We start from the raw sequence: 23,588 nt of genomic DNA, 5'->3' as shown, positions 1-23,588 counted from the left end.
TGAGAACTTCCAGCCTCTACAGCCACATTCTCCTTTACAGTTTTTGCAAAATACTCTTATACACCATCTGATTTAATGCCACCAACAACTACAAGGTGTTGTCACGATCACTTAGTGACAGAGAGAGATGGATATTATAGCTAAAAAAAAGGGCAGGGGCAATAATGGAACTTAAACTCAGTCTTCTGACTCCAAGCTCTGGGGTTTTGCCATGAATCAGCAGCTGCCAGGGACCAAAACCAGAGGCAGAGGTAGAAAAGTAAACATTAAGTAGACAGGAACTGCACTCTGTGTGGGTTACAGTCATACATCCTCACATGTCTGTTAGTGTGAAGAAGTGCACCAGTACCTCTTAAACTTTTATATCAATGTGTCCTCATGGCAGAAGGCAGCTTTTTTGTTAAATCTCAGAATTTATCAGAAAGAGGACAACCCAAGTCTCATTTCAGAGAGAAGTCTGGTATACTCTTAGAAACCTATGTGACTGTCTTCCCTAAGTACATTAATGCTTTTTCTCTCTCAAGGGAATCAAGGGAAATTGATGCTTCAGAAAGATCTCCCACACTTATCCTGTGGCACTCAAAGTACCCCAGATTGGGATGATAAGAGGAAGATTCAAGCTGTCAAGTTCAATTTCCCCAGATCTATTCCACAGAAGATGAGCAAATCTCACTCCAGCGACCATTGACTGAAGGGCAGTCTGGTCCCAGAACCATGAAGAATTAGAATATGAGGTGGAGAACTGAGAAAATAATGTTAAAGTCTCTCTGGAGAGTAGAAGCCTGGGAGAAAATCAAACCAAACCAAACCAAACCTGTTCTCCCATTGCCACCCAGAGATACTGTCAATGTTTTGAGCTCACGGGGGAATTGTAGGCTTTTCACGCTGTCAATGTCTATGTGAAGGGAGTAAGGCAGCCTGAAACCTCTTGCCCCTAGGTCCCATAGTCCCCATTCCCCTTCCAGCTGGAAATTTGTGCTGTGACCACAGGAACCAGAAATGGGGTGAGAATGCTTAGGGGACTGGGTTGTAAGATCAAAGGCCGGTCTTGAAGCAGTAATGACAGTTCCTGGGGGGACTGTGACATCACTACATTCCACTCCTCCTAGGGGAGGGAGGGAACAACATCAGTGTGATGGCTGAGTCACCGATTCACAATGGAGCAGGGGGATGTAGGGCTGGGACCCAGGTCCACGGAGACACCAGCCCAAAGAGCCCAGGGAGGTCGGGCTTGGGTCAGCAGGAGGGGAGAGCAGAGTCTGCAGCAGGAAGCCCGAGGAGTCACCAGCCCAAAGTCACCCAGGGATGACTGGTGAGGGTGGGGCCTGGGGCTGGGGGACCCAGGTCCTTGGAGAGGTGAGCCCAAAGAACTCAGGGAGGTCGGGCTTGGGGTGGCAGGATGTGAAGGCTGAGTATGGAGCCGGGAGCCCCAGAAGTCACTCGCCCAAAGTCACCCTGGGGTGATTGGTGAGGGCAGGGCCTGAGCTGCTTGCTGAAGGGGCGGGACTGACTGACAAGACTTTGGTTGGAGGGAGCACAGAGGTGCCAGTGTGGGGGGACCCAGCCCGGTGTGCCTAAGGGCTGGTATGGACTCTGGCAGTGGTCTTGCCATCAAAGGGGATCTGTGGCTGGGTTGGGGGGGCCATGATCTGATGCGTTTTACTTTTTTCTTGGCTGTGGCCAGTTTCCTCTGTTGAGTTTCTTCTAACATCGTGGGGTGGGGAGGGAGGCAGGGTTAGGGCCACATCAGCGAACACCTCCAGTCACCTACCAGGCAGCTGTGTGACTGAGCCAGAGGAGGTGTAACCAGGGCCACACTGTAATGCAGAATGGGGCGGGGCCTTAATGCTCCAAGCCCATTGGTCAGTGAGAAAGATGAAAGGGAAAGGAGGCGTGGCCAGGCAGCAGTGTGTCCAGAGGAACCTGTGGCATCACAAGGAAAGCTGCCCATGCAACTGCTGTCCCGCCCACTTGGGGAGAGGGGCGGGGCCTGCCTACTCCAGGAGCAGGGAGGGGCCGCCCACTCCAGGAGAGGGGAGGGGCCGGCTTTTGCTTTAAAAGCTTTAAAACTTTAAAAATAAACTTTAAAAAATATATGTGCTTATACTTTTTATATATGTGTATCAGTGTGCATATGTCTACGTGTTCCACCAGAGCTGTCTTCATTATCCAGCTTCTATGCAAGGTCTATGATTTTGGCCTACATTTTTCATCTTCAAATGAAGTACAAGAATTACCAGTGTTACTTCAATTGAGATACAACTCCTATAAAAATGGAAAATCCATAGCATGCTTGATGTTTAATGAAGTGGACTATATTATCCAACATTCCAATAAGATAATCACAATGAATTCTTTTTTTTGGAAAAAGTTTTTCTTAATTTCCTGCATTATTAAGATTTTTTTTTTTAAAAAATAAGAAACATGTCTAATATCTTTAAAAACACAAAGCTTTTGTGCCGGGTGCAGTGGCTCACTCCCGTAATCCCAGCACTTTGGGAGGCCTAGGCGGGTGGATCACCTTAGGTCAGGAGTTCAAGACCAGCCTGGCCAACATGGTGAAACCCCGTCTCTACTAAAAATACAAAAACTAGCCAGGTGTGGTCATGGGTACCTGCAATCCCAGCTACTCGGGAGACTGACGCAGGAGAATCACTTGAACCTGGAAGCCGAAGTTGCAGTGAGCCAAGGTCACACCACTGCACTGCAGCCTGGGTGACAGACTGAGACTCCATCTCAAAAAAAAAAAAAAGTAAAAAATTAATAAAAACACAAAGCTTTCAATTTAATAAGCACTCAAAGCTCTTTACTGGTTTAAAGCATATACAAGGCCTATTTTTCTAGAATCACCTGGCCTCTCTAAGCCTTGCAAATGAAACTGAATTTCTCACTTGATACTTGGCTATGACTTGCAATCATGAAAACCAAGAATTGTGTTATGTCACTGTGTATTGCTTGTTACTTGAATTCCACACTAGGCTGAGATCAAGGGTTGAATCTTACATGATTTGCTCCATAACCTGTGAGCTTCTTTTCCCACACCAAACTAAGCTTTTTTCTATTTTTTCTTTTTTTTTATTATTATTATCTTTAAGTTTTAGGGTACATGTGCACAATGTGCAGGTTAGTTACATATGTATACATGTGCCATGCTGGTGCGCTGCACCCACTAACTTGTCATCTAGCATTAGGTATATCTCCCAATGCTATTCCTCCCCCCTCCCCCCACCCCACAACAGTCCCCAGAGTGTGATGTTCCCCTTCCTGTGTCCACGTGTTCTCATTGTTCAATTCCCACCTATGAGTGAGAATATGCGGTGTTTGGTTTTTCGTTCTGGCGATAGTTTACTGAGAATGATGATTTCCAATTTCATCCTTGTCCCTACAAAGGACATGAACTCATCGTTTTTTATGGCTGCATAGTATTCCATGGTGTATATGTGCCACATTTTCTTAATCCAGTCTATCCTTGTTGGACATTTGGGTTGGTTGCAAGTCTTTGCTATTGTGAATGATGTCGCAGTAAACATACATGTGCATGTGTCTTTATAGCAGCATGATTTATAGTCCTTTGGGTATATAGCCAGTAATGGGATGGCTGGGTCAAATGGTATTTCTAGTTCTAGATCCCTGAGGAATCGCCACACTGACTTCCACAATGGTTGAACTACTTTACAGTCCCACCAACAGTGTAAAAGTGTTCCTATTTCTTCACATCCTCTCCACACCTGTTGTTTCCTGACTTTTTAATGATTGCCATTCTAACTGGTGTGAGATGGTATCTCATTGTGGTTTTGATTTGCATTTCTCTGATGGCCAGTGACGATGAGCATTTTTTCATGTGTTTTTTGGCTGCATAAATGTCTTCTTTTGAGAAGTGTCTGTTCATGTCCTTTGCCCACTTTTTGATGGGGTTGTTTGTTTTTTTCTTGTAAATTTGTTTGAGTTCATTGTAGATTCTGGATATTAGCTCTTTGTTGGATGAGTAGGTTGCAAAAATTTTCTCCCATTTTGTAGGTTGCCTGTTCACTCTGATGGTAGTTTCTTTTGCTGTGCAGAAGCTCTTTAGTTTAATTAGATCCCATTTGTCAATTTTGGCTTTTGTTGCCATTGCTTTTGGTGTTTTAGACATGAAGTCCTTGCCCATGCCTATGTCCTGAATGGTAATGCCTAGGTTTTCTTCTAGGGTTTTTATGGTTTTAGGTCTAACGTTTAAGTCTTTAATCCATCTTGAATTAATTTTTGTATAAGGTGTAAGGAAGGGATCCAGTTTCAGCTTTCTACATATGGCTAGCCAGTTTTCCCAGCACCATTTATTAAATAGGGAATCCTTTCCCCATTGCTTGTTTTTGTCAGGTTTGTCAAAGATCAGATAGTTGTAGATATGCAGCATTATTTCTGAGGGCTCTGTTCTGTTCCTTTGATCTATATCTCTGTTTTGGTACCAGTACCATGCTGTTTTGGTTACTGTAGCCTTGTACTATAGTTTGAAGTCAGGTAGTGTGATGCCTCCAGCTTTGTTCTTTTGGCTTAGGATTGACTTGGCGATGCAGGCTCTTTTTTGGTTCCATATGAACTTTAAAGTAGTTTTTTCCAATTCTGTGAAGAAAGTCATTGGTAGCTTGATGGGGATGGCATTGAATCTGTAAATTACCTTGGGCCGTATGGCCATTTTCACGACATTGATTCTTCCTACCCATGAGCATGGAATGTTCTTCCATTTGTTTGTATCTTCTTTTATTTCATTGAGCAGTGGTTTGTAGTTCTCCTTGAAGAGGTCCTTCACATCCCTTTTAAGTTGGATTCCTAAGTATTTTATTCTCTTTGAAGCAATTGTGAATGGGAGTTCACTCATGATTTGGCTGTTTGTCTGTTGTTGGTGTATAAGAATGCTTGTGATTTCTGTACATTGATTTTGTATCCTGAGACTGCTGAAGTTGCTTATCAGCTTAAGGAGATTTTGGGCTGAGACAATGGGGTTTTCTAGATATACAATCATGTCATCTGCAAACAGGGACAATTTGACTTCCTCTTTTCCTAATTGAATACCCTTTATTTCCTTCTCCTGCCTAATTGCCCTGGCCAGAACTTCCAACACTATGTTGAATAGGAGTGGTGAGAGAGGGCATCCCTGTCTTGTGCCCGTTTTCAAAGGGAATGCTTCCAGTTTGTGCCCATTCAGTATGATATTGGCTGTGGGTTTGTCATAGATAGCTCTTATTATTTTGAGATACATCCCATCAATACCTAATTTATTGAGAGTTTTTAGCGTGAAGGGTTGTTGAATTTTGTCAAAGGCCTTTTCTGCATCTATTGAGATAATCATGTGGTTTTTGTCTTTGGTTCTGTTTATATGCTGGATTACATTTATTGATTTGCATATGTTGAACCAGCCTTGCATCCCAGGGATGAAGCCCACTTGATCATGGTGGATAAGCTTTTTGATGTGCTGCTGGATTCGGTTTGCCAGTATTTTATTGAGGATTTTTGCATCAATGTTCATCAAGGATATTGGTCTAAAATTCTCTTTTTTTGGTTGTGTCTCTGCCAGGCTTTGGTATCAGGATGATGCTGGCCTCATAAAATGAGTTAGGGAGGATTCCCTCTTTTTCTATTGAATGGAATAGTTTCAGAAGGAATGGTACCGGTTCCTCCTTGTACCTCTGGTAGAATTCAGCTGTGAATCCATCTGGTCCTGGACTTTTTTTGGTTGGTAAGCTATTGATTATTGCCACAATTTCAGCTCCTGTTATTGGTCTATTCAGAGATTCAACTTCTTCCTGGTTTAGTCTTGGGAGAGTGTATGTGTCCAGGAATTTATCCATTTTTTCTAGATTTTCTAGTTTATTTGCATAGAGTTGTTTGTAGTATTCTCTGATGGTAGTTTGTATTTCTGTAGGATCGGTGGTGATATCCCCTTTATCATTTTTTATTGCATCTATTTGATTCTTCTCTCTTTTTTTCTTTATTAGTCTTGCTAGCGGTCTATCAATTTTGTTGATCCTTTCAAAAAACCAGCTCCTGGATTCATTACTTTTTTGAAGGGTTTTTTGTGTCTCTATTTCCTTCAGTTCTGCTCTGATTTTAGTTATTTCTTGCCTTCTGCTAGCTTTTGAATGTGTTTGCTCTTGCTTTTCTAGTTCTTTTAATTGTGATGTTAGGGTGTCAATTTTGGATCTTTCCTGCTTTCTCTTGTGGGCATTTAGTGCTATAAATTTCCCTCTACACACTGCTTTGAATGCGTCCCAGAGATTCTGATATGTGGTGTCTTTGTTCTTGTTGGTTTCAAAGAACATCTTTATTTCTGCCTTCATTTCATTATGTACCCAGTAGTCATTCAGGAGCAGGTTGTTCAGTTTCCATTTAGTTGAGCAGTTTTGAGTGAGTTTCTTAATCCTGAGTTCTAGTTTGATTGCACTGTGGTCTGAGAGATAGTTTGTTATAATTTCTGTTCTTTTACATTTGTTGAGGAGAACTTTACTTCCAAGTATGTGGTCAATTTTGGAAAAGGTGTGGTGTGGTGCTGAAAAAAATGTATATTCTGTTGATTTGGGGTGGAGAGTTCTGTAGATGTCTATTAGGTCTGCTTGGTGCAGAGCTGAGTTCAATTCCTGGGTATCCTTGTTGACTTTCTGTCTCGTTGATCTGTCTAATGTTGACAGTGGGGTGTTAAACTCTCCCATTATTAATGTGTGGGAGTCTAAGTCTCTTTGTAGGTCACTCAGGACTTGCCTTAAGAATCTGGGTGCGCCTGTAGTGGGTGCATACATATTTAGGATAGTTAGCTCTTCTTGTTGAATTGATCCCTTTACCATTAACTAATGGCCTTCTTTGTCTCTTTTGATCTTTGTTGGTTTAAAGTCTGTTTTATCAGAGACTAGGATTGCAACCCCTGCCTTTTTTTGTTTTCCATTTGCTTGGTAGATCTTCTTCCATCCTTTTATTTTGAGCCTATATGTGTCTCTGCACGTGAGATGGGTTTCCTGAATACAGCACACTGATGGGTCTTGACTCTATCCAATTTGCCAGTCTGTGTCTTTTAACTGGAGCATTTAGTCCATTTACATTTAAAGTTAATATTGTTATGTGTGAATTTGATCCTGTCATTATGATGTTAGCTGGTTATTTTGCTCGTTAGTTGATGCAGTTTCTTCCTAGTCTCGATGGTCTTTACATTTTGGCATGATTTTGCAGTGGCTGGTACCAGTTGTTCCTTTCCATGTTTAGCGCTTCCTTCAGGAGCTCTTTTAGGGCAGGCCTGGTGGTGACAAAATCTCTCGGCATTTGATTGTCTGTAAAGTATTTTATTTCTCCTTCACTTATGAAGCTTAGTTTGGCTGGATATGAAATTCTGGGTTGAAAATTCTTTTCTTTAAGAATGTTGAATATTGGCCCCCACTCTCTTCTGGCTTGTAGGGTTTCTGCCGAGAGATCCGCTGTTAGTCTGATGGGCTTCCCTTTGAGGGTAACCTGACCTTTCTCTCTGGCTGCCCTTAACATTTTTTCCTTCATTTCAACTTTGGTGAATCTGACAATTATGTGTCTTGGAGTTGCTCTTCTCGAGGAGTATCTCTATGGCGTTCTCTGTATTTCCTGAATCTGAACGTTGGCCTGCCTTGCTAGATTGGGGAAGTTCTCCTGGATAATATCCTGCAGAGTGTTTTCCAACTTGGTTCCATTCTCCCCGTCACTTTCAGGTACACCAATCAGACATAGATTTGGTCTTTTCACATAGTCCCATATTTCTTGGAGGCTTTGCTCATTTCTTTTTATTCTTTTTTCTCTAAACTTCCCTTCTTGCTTCATTTCATTCATTTCATCTTCCATTGCTGATACCCTTTCTTCCAGTTGATCGCATCGGCTCCTGCGGCTTCTGCATTCTTCACGTAGTTCTCGAGCCTTGGTTTTCAGCTCTATCAGCTCCTTTAAGCACTTCTCTGTATTGGTTATTCTAGTTATACATTCTTCTAAATTTTTTCAAAGTTTTCAACTTCTTTGCCTTTGGTTTGAATTTCCTCCCATAGCTCGGAGTAATTTGATCATCTGAAGCCTTCTTCTCTCAGCTCGTCAAAGTTATTCTCCGTCCAGCTTTGTTCCGTTGCTGGTGAGGAACTGCATTCCTTTGGAGGAGGAGAGGTGCTCTGCTTTTTAGAGTTTCCAGTTTTTCTGCTCTGTTTTTTCCCCATCTTTGTGGTTTTATCTACTTTTGGTCTTTGATGATGGTGATGTACAGATGGGTTTTTGGTGTGGATGTCCTTTCTGTTTGTTAGTTTTCCTTCTAACAGACAGGACCCTCAGCTGCAGGTCTGTTGGAGTACCCAGCCGTGTGAGGTGTCAGTCTGCCCCTGCTGGGGGGTGCCTCCCAGTTAGGCTGCTCGGGGATCAGGGGTCAGGGACCCACTTGAGGAGGCAGTCTGCCCGTTCTCAGATCTCCAGCTGTGTGCTGGGAGAACCACTGCTCTCTTCAAAGCTGTCAGAGAGGGACATTAAAGTCTGCAGAGGCTGCTGCTGTCTTTTTGTTTGTCTGTGCCCTGCCCCCAGAGGTGGAGCCTACAGAGGCAGGCACGCCTCCTTGAGCTCTGGTGGGCTCCACCCAGTTCGAGCTTCCCGGCTGCTTTGTTTACTTAATCAAGCCTGGGCAATGGCAGGCGCACCTCCCCCAGCCTCGCTGCCGCCTTGCAGTTTGATCTCAGACTGCTGTGGTAGCCATCAGCGAGACTCCATGGGCGTAGGACCCTCCGAGCCAGGTGAGGGATATAATCTCCTGGTGCGCCGTTTTTTAAACCAGTCGGAAAAGGGCAGTATTCAGGTGGGAGTGACCCGATTTTCCAGGTGCCGTCTGTCACCACTTTCTTTGACTAGGAAAGGGAACTCCCTGACCCCTTGCACTTCCTGAGTGAGGCAATGCCTTGCCCTGCTTCGGCTGGTGCACAGTGCATGCACCCACTGACCTGCGCCCACTGTCTGGCACTCCCTAGTGAGATGAACCCGGTACCTCAGATGGAAATGCAGAAATCACCCGTCTTCTGCGTCTCTCACGCTGGGAGCTGTAGACTGGAGCTGTTCCTATTCGGCCATCTTGGCTCCTCAGCTTTTTTCTAGAGTTCTACAATTCACAGTTAGTAGACAAGAGTGGTTCTCAAAAATGTAGTCTCTGGACTAGCAGCACCAGCAGAACCTGAGAACTTTTTATAAGTGCAAATTCTCAGGCCCCACCCTGGACCTGGTGAATCAAGAAACTCTGGAGTAGGGCTCAGCAATCTGTGCTGTGGTCATCCCTCCAGGTGTTCAAGAACCTCTGGCATACAGCAGGTAGAAAAATGTGTTTCCTTCTGTAGGTCCAAAGCCAGGGATACCATATGTTCTGTCTTGATATGAAACAATGACATGCAATTAAAAGACATAAATCTCCTTCCTACTCCCACCCTCCATCCAATGTGTTTTATTTTTATGAGTTAAATAAGAAAACAGATGGCAACCAGAAATTCAGTCTAAAAAGTATATTTACAAGAGTCAGTTCTCATCCAGCCTGATCTCATACAATACCATTTACACCCTCTTACCTCTCAAGTTTTAAAAAAGTATCTTCACAATGTAAGTCTCAGGCACACTAGCAGTTCTGTAATAAAACACCAAGTAGATCAGAACGTCCAAACTTACTAGAGAAGAAAAGTGGAATCATTGACTCTATTTTCAAATTGCATTCAACAGGAAATATAAGTTTTGAATTATTTTGACTTTCATACTTCCAAATTAATAGAATTAAATCAGAATACTCCATTCTTTCAAAGCCTCTAGCCAGGCAAAGTTTTACTGTATTACTTCTTGCTTTCAAAGGATATAAAGCAGAGTCCTGCTAGGCACATTTTGTATACATGCAAAGATGCAGAACTAAACAGTTCCATCTGTTCAATATTAAAACAAAAGTCCTTTAAACCTTGGATGGTGAGTGTAATACTTCAGCACTAGCAACAAAGCCTCAAATATGAAAAGATACCAAGATCGCCACTAGCAAACAAAACTAAACTCTCAGCCGGGAGCAGTAGTTCACACCTGTAATCCCAGCACTTTGGCAAGCCAAGGTGGGAGGATTACTTGAAGTCAGGAGTTCAAGACCAGGCTGGTTAGCATAGCGAATTCACATCTCCACAAAAAAAATTTAAAAATTAGCTGGGCATGGTGGTACACACTTGTAGTCCTAGCTATTTGGCATGCTGAGGTGGGAAAATTGCTTGAGCCCAGGAGTTTAAGCCTGCAGTAGCTATGATTATGGCACTATACTCCAGCCTGGGTGACAGAACAAGACTTAAATACACTCTCTCCTGCTCCTGTTTACACTAAAATCACTAAGTTAAAATGTTTTCAAATTTGGCAGGATGAAAATTAAGTGAAATGTGACTTTGGAGCTTGGCTAGCAAAAGGAAAGGAAAGGAAAGCAAAGGAAAGGAAAGGAAAGGAAAAAAAGAAAAGAAAAAAGAAAGCGAGAAAGGAAATCAAGTGAAATGACAAACTACTTACTGGGAGAAAGTTTTTGTAACCTCAGTGACAGATAAAAGGTTTGTATCCTTAGTCTTTAAAGAAATCTTTAAAATTACTGAGAAAAAAACAAATGATTTTCAACAGAAAATGGGCAATGGAGAAACAGGCACTTCTCACAAGAATAAAAATGACCAATAGGCGTATAAAAAAATTCAAAAGCACTAGAAACCAAAGAAATGTGATGAAAACAATGAGATTTTCTGTATAAAGGCAGCAAAGATGACAAATGGAAAGGGGAACCTAGAGCTCTGTCCTTGTTGGTGGGAGTATAACCTGAGTCACTTTTCCTGGAGAATAATTTGAAAATTTCTATTAAAAACCCTAAAAATTATTTTCCTCCAGAAATTCTACTTCTATGAATTTAGTCCAAAAATGCTTGCTTGAGACCATTAAAATGTATATATAAGAAAATTCACCTCTGGAATAGCAATGATTAACTTAATATACATCCAGCTATTAAAAATGATGCCAGGATATATTTACTGCCACAGAAATATGCCCAAAATATAGTAAGTGACAGAAGACTATATATTACGATTCTAGTTTTTAAAAGGTTTATATGCATAAAAAAAGTATAAAAAGCAACAAACCAGAATGTTTTGAGTGGCAAATTAAAGATTTTTCTTAATATCAGTCATCCAAATTATTACAAAAAGAATGCGATTTCCTTTATAATCAGGAAGAAGTGTTATTTTCATTTATTTATATGTAAATCTCTTTTCTTTTTCTTATTTTTTTCTCCTGTATGTATCCCATGTATGCTAGAATCCCTGCCTCTTGAGGTAAATCAGTCAATTTTTGGGAAGTGCACTACATAAAGCTGCCCTATCCTCCTTTTATTTTAAGAGATCTGGAGACATATTTGTTTCAAATTATTTTATTGTTCTCAGAGTACTTTTTAAAAATATATGAAATTTAGGAAAAGACAAAGGAATGGCTGACTCCCTACCCTCCTGGGGCTACTCTTCCAATTTTTGCTGCTATTGTTATATATTAATATTCACTGGGTACTAAAAAGTTGGGCAGCCCCTTAGATCCTTTTTTCTTATTTCTTTCGCATAATCCTACTTCATTCGTTCATTTGCTTATTTTTAAAAGGGTCATGTGTACAAATACATAGTTCAGAAAAAATTTAAATATAACTATCTATAAAAGTATGTGGCAAAATCCCATTCACAGTCTTATTCTCCTTCCACAGCCAACACTTTTAATTGGTTTCTTATATATCATTTCAGAATTTATCTTTGCAAATACAAATGTATGTTCTTATTCTACTCTTCTCTCTCAACACAAAAAGTAGCATACCATACATACTATAGCATTCCTTGTTCCTTTAAAAAACACACACAATATATCCAAGTTCTTCCACATGAGTTCAGAGGTCTTTGTCATTCTTCTTTACAACCGCACAGTATTCATCGTTTGGATGTACCACAGTTGACTTAACCAGTTCCCTGTTGGTGGACACTGAAGTCATCCCTATCATACTACTACAAACAATAATGCCAAGCATAACCACCCACACACACCAAGTTCATTTCTGAATCTGCCTTTGATGAAGCCTCTATCTGAATCACCACAAGGTCACAAGGCTGAAAAGTTAGCCAGTTTTTTAGTTTTCCTTATGTACAGCAGTATGTAGCAAAAGACTCCCTTGGGCAAAGCAAATGTACTTTTTGGGGATTTACTTCATAACAATACATGGATAAACAGAACACCAAGGAGAACCATGTCTATTTAACCATGCACATGTATGTATACATTACATGCATATGCATAGAAAGTATACAATAAATCCATCAAAGCATTAAGCATTGTCTCAGTACAGTGGATCTATGGAGAGCTTTGTAGACCTCCCTCCTTGCCTATCAATTTTTCCTAATTTCACAACAGTGAATATGTACTATTTTTGCAATATAAAATTTCAAAAAAATGTTAACCCAAATTAAGCTGGATACATTCCTTGTCTGTCCTATATTTGTATGGTGCTCCAGAGTGCTCAAATATCACTTTATTTAAAAAAAATTTTTTTTTTTCAAATATAGAGTCAGGCAGGGCCTTGCTCTGTCGACCAGGCTGGTCTTGAACTCCTAGATCCTCCTGGATCCTCCCACTTCCACCCCTCAAAGTGTGGGTATTACAAGTGTGAGACATCACGCCCAGCTGGCTTCATTTGAGAAATCTTTCCCCAGCACTCCATATATTATGAATAATTCCTTTATTCTTGTTTTGATAGCATCTTAGTCATATCTCTATTACCTCACTTGTCACATGATAATCAGTTGCTCCCCCATCCATCTCCCTTGATTGCTCATGAGCTCCTTGAGAAGAGTCTGATTTTCAGCACTTTGAACAGTGTGACACATATATGCTTCATATGCAGAGAAGGACATGATTTCACTACAGTGTAACTATTCCCAGAATTCAATGCCTGTATTTCTAAATTGTTCTAGATACTCTGCAACAACCTGAGAATGTTATGTTTTTCCCTAAAACTTCCATCCATTACTGAGTGTCTATGGTCATAGTTAACTCAATTGCAATGTGACCTCTGGCCAAGCCCATTCCTAGTTTTTTTTTTAGGTGATTTTTAATTTTAAATTTTTATTTTGATTGTTTCCTTTTTGTTTTTTCTAATCTAGCAGTGGTTGGTAAATTTCAACATCTGTATATCCCTGTGTCTTTGCACCTGCTGGTCTCTGCTTGGAATATCTCAAGGTTTTATTCACCTGGAAAAAATTTCTACTCACCCTTAAAGAATCAGCTTAAATAGGTCGGTGTGGTGACTCATGACTGTAATCCCAGCACTTTGGGAAGCAAAGGCGGGTGGATCACCTGAGGTCACTAGTTCCAGACTAGCCTATCCAACATGTTGAAACCTTGTCTTTACTAAAAATACAAAAAATAGCCGGGCGTGGTGGCAGATGCCTGTAATCCCAGGTACTCGGGAGGCTGAGGCAGGAGAATCAGTTGAACCCAGGAGGCGGAGGTTGCAGTGAGCTGAGATTGTGCCATTGCACTCCAGCCTGGGCGACAGTGTGAGACTCCGTCTCAAAAAAACAAACAAAAAAATTCCAGAAGAAAGTTTCTGCTTGGTCTGGTCTGGGTTGGCTGGGTAGCTGGGACGCTAAAACTGCCAAGCCCTCTAGTGTCATGTGGTTGAAGCAGGGCCGGGAGATGTATTAGTCAGTTCAGGGTGCCATGCCAAAATACCACAGATGGGTGGCTTAAACTGCAAACATTTATTTGTCACGGTTCTGGAGGCTGGGAAATCCAAGACCAAAGTGCCAGCAAGGTAGGTTTCATTCTGAGGCCTCTTCTCTTGGCCTGTAGGTGGCTGCCATATTGTGCACTCATGTGACCTCTTCTTTGTATTTGTGCAGAGAGAGAGTGAGTGCACCCTCTGGTGTCTTGTCTTATAAGGACACTAATCCTACTGAATCAGGGCCCCACCCTTAGGACCTCATTCAAACTTAATGACTTCCTGAGAGGCCTCATCTGCAAATACAGCCATGCAGAGGGTTAGGGCTTCAACATATGAATTTGGAGGAGACAGAGACACTCAGTCCATGATGGGAAGAAAAACTATTCATGAAAAAAGGGGTGCAGTGGCCAGAAAAGGGGGCAGACAAAATATTCTCCCCATTTCCCCCAATACACAACACAACACACACACACACACACACACACACACACACACACAGAGCCCTGACTTTGCCCCTTCCTCACAAGGCCACTCCCCACCCATAATCATTTACCTCCCTCCTATCCTGCTCTCTGGAGCTGCCCCTTCCCCTAAGTTGTCCTGTGGCTCACTGATTGCTGCATGCAGGTAGGTGCATGTAAATGTAGCTGGGGCTGGGAACCTCCTGGACCATGTGTGTCCTGAGCCCCACTATGAGACTGGGCAGGAAGTGGGTCTCACCCATGTCTCCTGTCCTCAGGCAGAGCCTAGCCTTGGGACATGAGCTCAGAGGATGCTGCAGCTTTGTTGGATTCACCTCAGGCCCCCTTTCTCCCCATCCACTTATAAGGTTCCCAGGGCCTTGATACCTCTGTCCTTGGAAGAAAAGAATGTGATTACCCAGCTCACTCAAACCTGCTCGTGGCTTCCCGCAATAGAAGCACAAAATTTTCTAATTCAAAAGAGTCTACCAAGTGACTAGCAAAGTGAATGAGGAAAGACCTACAACAAGGCACATCATTGAGAAATCCAAAGATAGAAAATCCTAATATCTTCCAGAGAGAAAAGACAGGTCACATGTAAAGAGCCAAGATTCTGCACGATACTGACTTCTTACCAACAACACTGGGAACTAGAAAATAATAGAGCAGTATTTCCCAATGTGAGAAGTTACTTTCAAATTAGAGCATTATATCCAGCCAAACTGTTAATCAGGAGTTGGGGTAGAACAATGACATTCTAAAATATGTGAAGGTAAGAAAGCTTGGCTTCCATTCACTGCTTTTCAGGAAGCCACTGGAAGATGTACTGCAACATAATGAGACAGTGAACCAGGGAAAAAGAAGATCTGGGGCAAGGGAACAGGAGATGCACACAGAAGAGGCAGCAGGAAATTCACACAATGGTGCAGAGACATGTCAGAATGCCAGCCATGCCACAGGCTGAGAGCTGAGTCCAGTTTGGAGCATAAGGATGGAGGGCAAGGGAGAGAGGGAAGCCTCCAGGAAAATAACAGGGCTGATAGAGTAGCTCGTGTATCTTAGTTTTAGATAATTATTACCAGGCATTTCATAGATCAGTTGGAGTAACTGAAAGAAAGGTAGTTAATAGGTACAAAAACATATAAGCAAACGAAGGGAAAAAATTTGAAGCAATTATTAACTCCAGGGGGAAAAAAAGGAAGAAATGAAACAATTTCAGTGCAGGACTTGGCTTAGGAAACAAAATTTAGATATCTACAAGAATGTAAATGCTTTTGATTTCACAAGATTTTGATCCAGTGAAATTGGTAGAATGGAGGCAAGGAAACTGTTAAGACCTCATAAGGGAGGTAAGCCCTATACTGTGCTATTCCAGGAAGTAGACAGATACTGAAGAAAACAAATCAAGAAATAGCAACGTAAACATTCTTTAGAAATATGATGCAAATACCAGAGGAAGTAGCAAAATGAATTTAAAGTGACGGCCTCTGGGAATTAGGATACAAAGGTGTTGGGGTGATCAGACTCAACACCAGGACGTGGGGGCTACAAAGTCCGGTGGAGTCAAAGGAATGAGGAAAGACAAGTTGAGAGAGAAAGTGGGACCAGGGGGCCAACACTAGTATAGAGGCTGTGAAGGCCCTGAGCTCTGGGAGCCCACACTATTTATTGGTGATCAAAAAAAGAAGCAGGTGGTGAGGATGTGGGGGTTGAAAGGAAGTGACATATCAAGCATATAAGCTACAGCTGTGATGGTGTAGCATTTTCTTTGAAACATATGGCTACTTGAGATAATGGGAGTGCTAGAAGCAAGGAGCCAGCAAGTCTAGACACATTCCAAAGGCCATGAGAGGTTTTAGACCCCGGACCCCGGACCCCGGACATGTTCCAAGCCCACCTCGGCTTCTCTCCCAGCACTCAGCCTTTCTCCCAACACAAAGGCAAGAAAAGAAAGGGCATAGGAAATGCTTTTTGATATAAGCCTATTATTACCATTTTGTTCTTTTTTCTTCTTCCTTTTTTTTTTGTACTGAGGATTTCTTGCTCCAGATACCATTTTGTTCCTTTTTAAAATTTTATTTTTATTTACTTATTTATTTATTTTGAGACAAAGTCTCATTCTGGCACTTAGGCTGGAGTGCAGTGGCATGATCTTGGCTCACTGCAACTTCCGCCTCCCAGGTTCAAGCAATTCTCCTGCCTCAGCCTCCGGAGTAGCTGGGACTACAGGCGAACACCACCAGGCCTAGCTAATTTTTTTTTTGTACTTTTAGTAGAGGTGGGGTTTCACCATGTTAGCCAGGATGGTTTCGATCTCCTGACCTCGTGATCCACCCAAAGTGCTGGGATTACAGGCGTAATCCACTGGGTGAGCCACCGCACCCAGCCCCATTTTGTTCTTAACTCTGTGTATCTAGCGCTTTGATTGAAATTAAATATAATGTTATAAGTTCTGGAGATCTGTTGTACAGAATGACTATAGTTAATAATAATATATACTTGAAAATTGCTAAAAGAAGATTTTTTGCTTTTATTATTATTAATTGACACAATAATTGTACGTATTTGTGGGGTACAGTATAATATTTTTATACATGTATACAATATGTAATAATTAAATCAGGGCGATTAGCATCTCCACCACCTCAAACATTTATCCTTTCTTTGTTCTGGGAGTATTCAAAATGCACTCTTCTAGCTATTCGAAAATATATAATAAATTGTCATCAATTATCATCACCCTATAGTGCAAAAAAACACTAGAACTATTCCTCCTATCTAGCTGGGGTTTTTTGTTTGTTTGTTTGTTTGTCTTTTGCTTTTTCAGACAGGGTCTCACTCTGCCCCCTAGGCTGGAGTGAAGTGGTGCAATCACAGCTCACTGCAGCCTTGACCTCTTGGGCCCAAGTGATCCTCCCACCTCAGCTTCCAGAGTAGCTGGGACCGCAGGCATGCACCAACATGCCTGGCTAATTTCTAAATTTTTTATAGTGATGGGATCCCCCTATGTTGCCCAGGCTGGTCTCAAATTCCTGGTTTCAAGTGATCCTCCCACCTCAGCCTCCTAAAGGGGTAGGATTATAGGCGTTAGCCACCAGCCATGTACTCTTGTATCTCTTAACCTGTTAGCCAACCTTTGGCTACCCCCTCTCCCTTACCCTTCCTCACCTCTAGTAAACACTACTCTAAGCAAATAGATCTTAAATATTCTTACCACAAAAATAATAATAAAAGTATGTGAGGTGATGAAAATGTTAACTTGATTTAATCATTTCATAATGTATGCACATATCAAAACATCACATTGAACACTGTAAACATACACAATTTTTATTTATCAATTATACTTTAATAAAGATGGAGGAAGAATTGAATATAATGTTAAAACAAAAAACAATTGCAGGCCAGGTGCGGTGGCTCACGCCTGTAATCCCAACACTTTGGGAGGCCGAGGCAGGTGGATCACCTGAGGTTGGGAGTTGGAGATGAGCCTGGCCAATGTAGTGAAACCACATCTCTACTAAAAATACAAAAATTAGCTAGGTGTGGTGGCACACACCTGTAATCCCAGCTACTTGGGAGGCTGAGGCAGGAGAATCACTTGAACCCAGGAGGCAGAGGTTGCAGTGAGCTGAGATCGTGCCACTGCACTTCAGCCTGAGCAACAGAGTGAGACTCCGTTTCAAAACAAAACAAAACAAAACAACAACAACAAAACAATTGCAAAACCTAAAGAAAATCATTAATCTAGTCCAGACCAGCCTTTTACAGATGAGGTCACTGAAGTGCAGAGTGGTGAACTGACTTGTCTGATGTTACACAGCAAGTCATGGCACAGCTTGACCTGAAACCCAAAGCCAAGTTGTTTTCTATTACCTCCAGGTCCTTCAGTCCAGCCCTCCTGGGGCTCTGCCTTGGGAACTGGTATTGGTGACAAACGGATTAGAGAGGAACATGCATGGAGCTCTCCATTTAGACTGACATATTCGCATTGTGCCTGGGCACCGGCAAGAAACAGTGCAAGCTCCAAGAGTGCTCGCCCCAACCCTTTTCCCCCTCCCCATCCTCTCTCATAACCAACTTCAGCTAAAAGGTCTGAGAAGAAAAGGGAATCTTAGATGACTCTCACTAGGGTGTAAATGACTCCCACCATGATTTTTGTTTTATTGAGACATAACCCCAAAAGCAGTTTGATGGATAGTGTGCCAGGCAGTAGGATGAAGACAGATGGGGAAACTGCCTGGGGTCATGGAGAAGGTGGAGGCACTGAGGCCCTGAGTGATTTTATAAGCACTTTAAGAAAGGTCCAGCACCATGATTTCTTACCTTCACTACCCAGGACCAATAAGGTCCCACGTCCTGACAGATTTTGTTTATCAGACAAATTGCACTCAGTCATGCTTCATTTTCCTCCAAGAGTTCCCAGGTTACATAGAATTGAGATAATCTCCCCACCTTGCCATCACCCCCACAAAGACACTCCATGTTTCTGTTTACAATACAGTCTTATATGGATTGATATTAGATTTTCAGGTGCTCTTTGCATTTTGCAACTATTGCTCAAGCTGGAGACCCAAAACGAGCACTAGCTTTACAGTCAAAGACCCCTGGGTTCCAGTTTCAGCTGAGAGACTGTAAGCACATCGCTAGCCCACTCTGATCCTGTCTCCTAGTTGTATAATCACCTCTTTCCCATCAATTGCGAGGCTGGAGAGAAAAGTGTCCACTCTGTGCCCAGTACACAGTAGGAGCTTAGTAAGCTTAAGCTCTCTTGCTTCCTCACTATCCTAAAGTGGTAGCGGAAAGACAGATGTGGGGAATGGCACCTGGGAGGCTCCAGCTGTATGCTTCACAATCCTACCAACGAAAAATCTGAATTAGGCTTCAGTTTCCCGTCTACAAAATGAGACAGGACAGGAGTGGGTAGGAAGAGGAGGAGCTTGGCCTTGTTGGTTTAAGCTGGGCTCGTCTGATTCTGTAACGCGGGCTTCATTGCAGGGTCCAGCCCACTCCCCAGCCAGGGCTTCGTGTGCTCTGAATGTCTTTTGGCCAAGTCCAAGGCTATCCAGGGTCGGGGTCGGGAGGCTGGGTGGAGGGTAGTAGGGTGGAGAGAAGCAGTTCCCGCATATAACCTGCAGGTGGCACCAGAGCAGCGCGGGAGCCGAGGGTTCCGCTCCAGCCTTCCTGGAGACCCGAGCAGGGCGGGGTAGGGCAAGGCAGAGGTTGTGCACACCGCTCATCTGGGCAGTGGCACAGGGCTGCGGATCAGTCCACACTGTTTGAAATAGACACATGGGTCGTCTGGCTCATTTCCTCTCTTTGGTAGGGTGATCATATGCTTTATCATCCAAATTCTTCGGAGAGTGAAAGGGACACTATTATAATTGCACCGGCACAACAGACATAACCTTAGCTGTACCTTGCAAACCAGAACATATTGCAACCCTACCCTCCGGTCACTTTTTCTTCCTTGTTTCCATTCTTTCTTTTAATTTATTTTCTTTTTAAACACACAGCATTCTCTTTCCCCCAAGCACCACTGTCTTTGAAAATGCCCTTGCAATTGGGATATTTTCAACAGGGCAACATCTGCTTTCGCATCTTGAGTCTGAACAGTGTCTCTGAACCCACCCCAAAGGCTGGTTTTAGCTTCCAGTCAGAAGACTCTGTTCTCTGGCTTACCATCCCCATGACTCAAGAATTAAAGATGTCAGACGTGGAACAGTGACCCTTATCTCAACTTTGGTGCCTCTTTGCTAAATTTATTCCTGTAATTTTGTTCTGAGTGCTCATGTCCTTTATCTCATTGAATTTACATATATTAGTTTATCAAATTACAAGCAGACAAGCCCCATTAAGCAGGATTCTTATATTTCCAAGATCACCCCATTACTCCATTCAACCCCAAATTAGCATGCCATTTATCTCCTTGTTTCTGAACCGTCTTCACTTAATAGTCTCGTAAACATCCATCCATTGCAAAAAGGACTCAAACTGTTCTCACTTCCATTTTTAGTTGATTCATTGATATCCAAGTAATTGATTTGTCTGGAGGAGTCATTAGTAGAGAACTGTGCCCTTAAATTTAGTTTTATAGTGGAATTCTGCTAATTAATATCTCTCTGTGTCATTCTCACATTGCAGCAAATGACCATGGGTTTCTATCTTAACCTAAAATCTAGGTTAGAAATTTGATCTTATCTGAGTAAGATATTAATAGATAATGTGAGGCTTTTTTAAATTTACTGAACATTTTCTCAGCTAAGAATGACACTCATGGTCACAAATATCTATGTAAGCAAGCAGAAAATTGGGCTGTAAATATATAAACACTTAAAATATCATGTTTAGAGACAAGATTTTCCTTTTTTTTTCTTTTTAGTAAAGTATATTTGCTATGGTTGGAATGTTTGTGTCTCCTCCAAAATTCATGTTGGAACTTAAACCCCCATGTGATAGTATTAAGGGGTGGTGTCTTTAGGAGATGACTAAATCGTGAGGGAGGAGCCCCCTCATGAATGGGATTAGCGACCTTATGAAAGGGCTTGAGGGAGCGACCTAGCTCAGTTTTCTTCTTTTGCTTTTCTGTTCTTTCCACCATGCTGGGACACAGCGTTTCTCACCTCTGGAGGACTCAGCATTCAAGGTGCCATCTTGGAAGCAGAGAGCAGCCCTCACTAGACTACAAACCTGCTGGCGCTTTGATCTTGGACTTCCCACCCACCAGAACTGTGAGAAATACATTTTTGTTCTTTACACATTACCCAGTCTCAGATATTTTGTTACAGCAGCACACATGGACTAAGACAGTATCTTACATACAGCGAGGTGCATATACCTTAAGCTACAACTCCTTACTATTTACATATGTGCACACTCATGTGACCGCCACTCAGCTCAAGATACAGAATGTTCCCATCAGCACAGAGGGCTCCCTCTTGCGCCTTCTTAGTTGCTGTCCCTGCAAAGTTAACCAGGATCCTGACCTCTGTCACCATGGATTAGTTTCACCTGTTCTTGAACTTCATATAAATGGGATCATTCAGTATGTGCAGGTTTGTGGCTGGCTTCTTTCACTCAACATAATCCTGTGAGATTTAGCCATGTTTTGGGTACTGGTAGTTGTTTATTTTTCTGGTTGTGTAGTTTTCCATATTTCATTTATTACCCTTCTGTTTTTATGTCTAACTCAGTGTTTTGTGGGGTATATTGGTCCTTTTTAGCTAGATTGATATTAAACATCTTATCAATGAAGCTTAGGAGATTTTTAGAAGACAAAAGCCTAATAAACTCAAGCCCCCCAAACTTAAGCCAAGTTTCCTTCTCACCCCTGCTTGAGTTGTTCTTCTTCATGTGGTATTCTTTTCCTCACAAAGCTGAGGGAAAATCAAGGAACACAAGAGCTCTTCATCATGTTATCAGCTTAGGGATGCTTGTCATCTGAATAACAGGGTAGATATTTATAATCCAAAATGTTAAAATAACTAGAGCAAACACTTACATAGCACTGACTGCTGTTCACAGTGCTTTACATATATTATTTTCCTCAAAACAACTCTGTGAAATAGACACTATTATTGTCATCCCCACATTTTAGATGGGGAAATGGAGGCACAGAGAGACCATGTAACTCTCCCAAGGTGGTAGGGCCAGGACTTGAACCTGGGTTTTCTGGTTTTAGAGCCTGCACCCTTCACCACCACACCATATTGTGTAGCATGATACTTCCTGTGGTTAAAGTGTTTTCTTATATTAGCTTGGGAGCTTTTCTGAATAATTCAAATCTTATAAATTTGCTTCAAAGAATACAAGAAATTGAAATGGAAGATCTAATATAGAATGTGTGGGATTCATGAATAAATTATAGGACTCTCTGGTTTTAATAATAATTATTTGCTTATCTTGTGACTTTTGTCAGGCAGGGTTATAATGTGCTATCCTCATTTTCCTCCTCTTCAACGGGAGGAGATGGGCTCAGAGACAGGCACAATTTATCATAAAGTCTCATCACACTTTCCCTCACCATCTGGAAGCTGGAGATAGGTTTGTGAAATCTTGGTTGAGAAAGAGTTGAATGCCACTTGTAGCATAGTGAGTTTTATAAAGATGGTTTTACTAGCCAGTTCTGTTGCAGAGAGTCCTGCAAGTTTTTGCAATTAATGTGACCAACAGTTTTCTCACAAAGATTATCAGGGCTCTAGAGGAAATTATCTTCCAGTTTTATTCTGCTGCTAAAGTGCTCTATTTCTTTATAGATGAACTAATTAATTCTTGGTCACTTGTTCTCCCTTAGACATTTCTCTGCCTCTTTATGCTGTGCTTTATGTCTCTTTATGCTCAGCCCCAGGTTTTTCCTTCTAACTGCAAGAAGAAGATTATTGAAATTTTCTCTCTCTCAAACTCCCAGGCTCAAGTGATCCTCCCCTGTCTACCTCTTGTGTAGCTGGCATTACAGGTGTGCACCACTGCACCCTGCTGATTTTCTCTTTAACCTTCCCCCTGAGCATGTGTACACACACACACACACACACAAACATACATATAGACACACAGACCTCCACATGTATACACACACACAGAGACACACATATATCCACACATACTCATTAGAAATACATTTACACACACACACACGTGCACACACACGTATACCCACCTTCCTTCCATCTTCTTCTCAGGACTCAGGGCTCTCAGAGTAGTGGAAAGAGTCTTGTACCATGAGTCAAGGATCAACTGTGCAACTTTGCTCAAGTGTCCTTCCTTTTGAGATCTCATCTATAATAAACATTCTTATGTTTATTATAGATAACCAAAATAACCCATCAATTAGGGTTATTTTGAAGATAAAACAGATAGGAAGGATAACAGAATGATGACATGTTAAAAAATTAAGCTTGACCAAAAAAAGGTCTGGCTTTTGTCCTAGACTCCTGGGAGGTAATCTTCAACACGTAATGCCTGATAGGAATATCTTTGCCTGGGGATCTTGGGTCATGATGGATAGTCTAATAATAAGATGGTGGGGGCCGGGCGCGGTGGCTCACACCTGTAATCCCAGCACTTTGGGAGGCTGAGGCGGGCGGATCACAAGGTCAGGAGATCGAGACCATCCTGGCTAACATGGTGAAACCTCGTCTCTACTAAAAATACAAAAAATTAGCTGGGCGTCATGGTGGGCACCCGTGGTCCCAGCTACTTGGGAGGCTGAGGCAGGAGAATGGCGTGAACCCAGGAGGCAGAGCTTGCAGTGAGCCGAGATCGCACCACTGCACTCCAGCCTGGGTGACAGAGTGAGACTCCGTCTCAAAAAAAAAAAAAAAGAAAAAAAAAAAAAGATAGTGGGAACTAGCCAAGCCAGGAAAAGTGACTATGTGATTTAGAGT

The 23,588-nt window shown here is 42.1% G+C and overlaps 1 long non-coding RNA gene across 4 annotated transcripts in view, besides 2 other annotated features; it reads left to right on the top strand.

Annotated features, from left to right (window-relative positions):
- LOC105370913 (uncharacterized) overlaps positions 10–23,588 on the top strand; it is a 36,339-nt gene continuing 12,760 nt past the window's right edge. The window contains exons 1-2 of one of the 4 annotated variants that reach the window (XR_932509.2): positions 10–1,312; positions 20,819–20,936. This is a non-coding gene — a long non-coding RNA (uncharacterized LOC105370913). Of the gene's footprint in view, positions 1,357–10,299; positions 10,557–12,863; positions 13,313–20,818; positions 20,937–23,588 lie in introns of those variants that run through there. The other 3 variants (XR_932508.2, XR_932511.3, XR_932510.3) reach the window with 3 other exon arrangements.
- Positions 875–1,428: an enhancer, noted in NCBI's record as "H3K27ac-H3K4me1 hESC enhancer chr15:79019838-79020391 (GRCh37/hg19 assembly coordinates)". NCBI's record gives its function as "activates a minimal SCP1, AML or CMV promoter by ChIP-STARR-seq in naive H9 embryonic stem cells {active_cell/tissue: H9 hESC(naive)}" and the evidence as "EXISTENCE:reporter gene assay evidence [ECO:0000049][PMID:30033119]".
- Positions 1,429–1,983: an enhancer, noted in NCBI's record as "H3K27ac-H3K4me1 hESC enhancer chr15:79019283-79019837 (GRCh37/hg19 assembly coordinates)". NCBI's record gives its function as "activates a minimal SCP1, AML or CMV promoter by ChIP-STARR-seq in primed H9 embryonic stem cells {active_cell/tissue: H9 hESC(primed)}" and the evidence as "EXISTENCE:reporter gene assay evidence [ECO:0000049][PMID:30033119]".

Source organism: Homo sapiens, chromosome 15 (genome assembly GCF_000001405.40).
Source record: "Homo sapiens chromosome 15, GRCh38.p14 Primary Assembly".
Classification (NCBI taxonomy): Eukaryota; Metazoa; Chordata; class Mammalia; order Primates; family Hominidae; genus Homo; species Homo sapiens.
Note: the sequence above shows the minus strand (reverse complement) of the source record. Positions and strands in the feature narration are given on the sequence as shown.